This window comes from Homo sapiens, chromosome X (assembly GCF_000001405.40).
Source record: "Homo sapiens chromosome X, GRCh38.p14 Primary Assembly".
Taxonomy (NCBI): Eukaryota; Metazoa; Chordata; class Mammalia; order Primates; family Hominidae; genus Homo; species Homo sapiens.
This window is the reverse complement of record NC_000023.11, coordinates 19152908-19157512: the sequence shown is the minus strand read 5'-3', so window position 1 is coordinate 19157512 and position 4605 is coordinate 19152908.

The following is a 4605-nucleotide window of genomic DNA, read 5'->3' as shown; positions in this document are numbered from 1 at the left end:
AGGAAGAATATTTGAATCTCCTGAGGCAGCCTGTAGGGCCCAAGCTACAGAAGCATTTTTTGTTTTTTTTTTTTTTTTTTTTTTTTTTTTATGAGATGAAGTCTCACTCTCTCACCTAGGTTGGAGTGCAGTGGCAAGATCTACAACCTCCACCTCCTGGGTTCAAGCGATTCTTGTGCTTCAGCCTCCAGAGTAGCTGGGATTACAGATACCTGCCACCAGGCACCAATATTTTTTTTTTTTTTTTTTAAAGCAGAGATGGGGTTTCGCCATATTGGCCAGGCTGATCTCGAACTCCTGACCTCAGGTGATCCTCCTGCCTCAGCCTCCCAAAGTGCTGGGATTACAGGTATGAGCCACCATGCCTGGCCTAATTTTTGTATTTTTAGTAGGGACAGGGTTTCGCCACATTGGCCAGGCTGGTCTCAAACTCCTGAGCCTGCATGATCCACTTGCTTTGGCCTCTCAAAGTGCTGGGATTACAGGCATGAGCCACTGCGCCCAGCCAATGTGTGGTGGTGCACACCTGTAATCTCAGATACTCAGGAGGCTGAGGCAGGAGAATCACCTGAACCTGGGAGGCGGAGGTTGCAGTGAGCTGAGATCGTGCCACTGCACTCCAGCCTGGGCGACAGAGCAAGACTCTGTCTCAAAAAAGATAAAAACAAAAATTAAGAAATTATTAGAATTATTTGATGAATGATGCAATAAGCAGTTTTATGATATTTAAACATATAGTATTTAGTTAGAGAATAAAAATGTTTATGTATTTTCATTTTATTGTATTATATAATATGTACCAATATGTCCAAATATGTCTTTATCTCTATCTACATATATTATATTTCTATATCCATATCTCTATATTACTATACCTGTTATGGATTTTGACCATTGCCCCCAGGCACAACTAATATTCCATACTAGTTTTCTGTCCTGGCCTCACCTTTTGGATGGCACACATGAAATTGACTTCCCAGCTCTGACCTTGGCACTCATCAAGAACTGTTCCAGTTCTCCCCTGCAGCTGGCTGCAATACTTTGAGTCACGCCCTTTTTAATTCAACACAGGCCTCAGGACCTTCCTTCCCTCGCACAGCAGTGGGGAACACGCCCACTTCTCTCTGTGTCAGTCTCAGCAGGGCCTGGGTAGTTAAAGGAAGCCTGTTCTCACCCTTTCTGCCTCTATCAAAACTTGCTGCCCGGGAAGTGTCTGAACTCTTAGCCAATATGCTCTTTTCCCAAGGGCCATTTTCATTTCATGTCTTGACTTCAGTTGCAGAAGGAAAGCTTTATTCCTTTATGGAAGAATTTCAGGCATCAAAGGCAGGTGGGGAAGAATTTTTGGGAGCTGAGGAGTCTAGAATGTGAATGTTTTATGAGTCCACCTGCAGATCAAAAGAGAAGAAAACTAATATATTCTTTTTCCAAAGGGGGAAGGAGAAGTTCCTCTACATTCTTTGGTGTGTGTTTTATTATTTTAATAGATCGTGTGAGTGTGCAGGCTTCAGGGAGATGAAACTGCTGTCTGATACATCACTGGTTATGTTATGGAGTATAAAGTCATGCAATTTAATGGAAAAAAGGCAGCTTGGAAAGATATCTGTGTAAGCCAGCTTTAAGAGGTCATACATCTTAATACTGATTGATAAACTGACCATGACTTGAAACAAACATATCTGAATCTTCAATTGCCCATACAATAAAAAACAATAGCTAACATTAACTAGCTGCTTCTTCTATGCTTGGCATTGTGCTCAGTATTCTACATGCACTGTCTCGTTTAATGCTTGAGACAAATTTTGGAGGTAGGTACTGTTTTATTTTTATTTTATTTTATTTTATTTTATTTGAGATGGAGTTTCACTCTTGTTGCCCAGGCTGGAGTGCAATGGTGTGATCTCAGCTCATCGCAGCCTCTACCTCCTGGGTTCAAGCAATTCTCCCACCTCAGTCTCCCAAGTAACTGGGATTACAGGCATCTGCCACCATACCCAGCTAATTTTGTGGTTTTTTTTAGTAGAAACGGGGTTTCTCCATGTTGGTCAGGCTGGTCGCAAACTCCCAACCTCAGGTGATCCACCCGCCTCAGCCTCCCAAAGTGCTGGGATTACAGACATGAGCCATCGCCCCTGGCCATAGATACTGGTTTTATCCCCATCTGCGTATTTTCCAGCATGCTGGCATTCTCTTTTTCAATCTCTTTTTTTTTTTTTTTTTTTGACGGAGTTTTATTCTTATCGCCCAGGCCGGAGTGCAATGACGCGATCTCAGCTCACCACAACCTCCACCTCCTGGGTTCAAGCGATTCTCCTGCCTCAGCCTCCTGAGTAGCTAGGATTACAGGCGTCCACCACCACGCCCGGCTAATTTTTGTATTTTTACTAGAGACAGGGTTTCGCCATGTTGGCCTGGCTGGTCTCGAACTCCTGACCTCAGGTGATCTGCCTGCCTCAGCCTCCGGAAGTGCTGGGATTACAGGCACGAGCCACCATGCCTGGCCTTCAATATCTCTTCTTAACCCACCCTAGGCCCATCTGGGCTCTGCTCTGTGCCCTGGACTCCCTTATCCTTGGATTCTGTTTGGGTTCAACCAATGGGAGCTACCACAGGTTATTGAAGAGTGGGAGGAAGGAGACAGAGAGGTTGGGCTATTTCTTCCCAGCTCTTTCCCTGCTCCATCTGCCTGGTTATGACAGCAGCTGTCTCCCTGTACAACTGTAGCTTTTGTCAGTCATCCCCTCTCCATAGCTCTGGCTCCTACTGGAAGCTGGTACCATCATTTCTTCTCCTTCCCTTTTCCAACCCAAGGGGAGCAAGAGCTTCCAGGTGCTGCTAGTCTCTGGGTGCTCTGTCATCTCTTGGTTTCTTTAACCCTGCCCACACCTCCATAAATATTCTCTTTGTCAAACTGTCTTCACAGATCCCAGCTAAGTATACCTTCCGTTTCCTGCTGGAACCCTGACTATTAAGTAATAGTTGACCTCAGAACAATCTGCTATGGGTCCTTTTCACTCAACTTCTATACTTCCTGCCTTCTTCTAAATGCTATATTTTTGTTTATTTGTTCTGAAACTTCAGTTTGGCTTTATTTGAGGGGAGTGGATTGTATTAGTTCATTTTCATGCTGCTGATGAAGACATACCTGAGACTGGGCAATTTACAAAAGAAAGAGGTTTATTGAACTTACAGTTCCACGTGGCTGGGGAGACCTCACAATCATGGCAGAAGGTGAAAGGCATGTCTCACATGACAGCAGACCAGAGAAGAGAGCTTATGCAGGGAAAGTCCCATTTTTAAAACTACCAGATCTCGTGAGACCCATTGACTATCATGAGAACAGCACGGGAAAGACCTGCCCCCATGATTCAGTCATTTCCCACTGGCTCCCTCCCACAACTCGTGGGAATTATGGGAGCTACAAGATGAGATTTGGGTGGGGACACAGAGCCAAACTGTATCACTGATCTTACACATAAAGTTACTGATTTTCCAGGTGGGTGCAGATTATTTTGACCTTCGGCTATAGGAACTTCTGTAGTTGTAGATACATATTCGTGAATATATTTATTCATGAATTTTGATCCTTTCCATGGGATTACTCCTTCTTATGCATGAATTTGTAATTAGAAAGTCTCAAGGACTGGTATTCAGTTTCACACAAGCACGCATTATAGTAACTAGCAAGCAATTTTTATCCCTATGAACCATAATAAACATTTAGGTGCATTTCTGGAAAATGTGATTATGCAAATCTCAGCAAGATGCTGTTCATGGCTTGAGTGAGGTCTGTGTGGAGAAGGAGTTTTTTTATTGGTAGCTTAAGGGGTTCAGCAGCTCAAATGCACTCTTTGGAAAACTTAGATATGTATGTTATAATATAATTTTATAGATGAATAAGTGTCTTTCTGTTTGGGTGAATTAATGCACGTTTGCAATGAGGGCAGAGATCAGAAATAGGGGCTTGGGCTGGGTACAGTGGCTCTCACCTGTAATCCCAGCACTTTGGGAGGCCGAGGTGGGTGGATTGCTTGAGGTCAGGAGCTGGAGATCAGCCTGGGCAACATGGCGAAACCCCATCTCTACTAAAAATATAAAAAGTAGCTGGGTGTGGTGGTGTACCCCTGTAATCCCAGCCACTTGGGAAGCTGAGGCATGAGAATCGCTTCAACCCGGGAGGCAGAGGTTGCAGGGAGCCGAGATGGCACTGCTGCACTCCATCCTGGGAGACAGAATGAGACTCTATCTCAAAACAAAAAGAAAGAAAGAAAAGAAATAGGGACTTGAATTGCAGCTTCACACTGGCTCCCAATTTCTTAGAGGTTAAATAAAAAAATACATTTAAATACTTGTCCTGGGATCTAAATCCCTAGACATAATTTGGTATCAAAAAATGTGTAAGACAACCACACACATAGTAGATTTTCAATATCACATTAACAAATCCAATTTTTCTTTCCCCAACCCTCATGATTCATGTTTTCTTAGCCACTGGAATTCTTACATGCCATTTCCAAGTAGGTAGGATTGAAATTTTTAACGGTAGTGTGACTAAGCAGAGATAGCTTCTTATTAGTGTTACATTGCTCTGGGTACCAACTCACC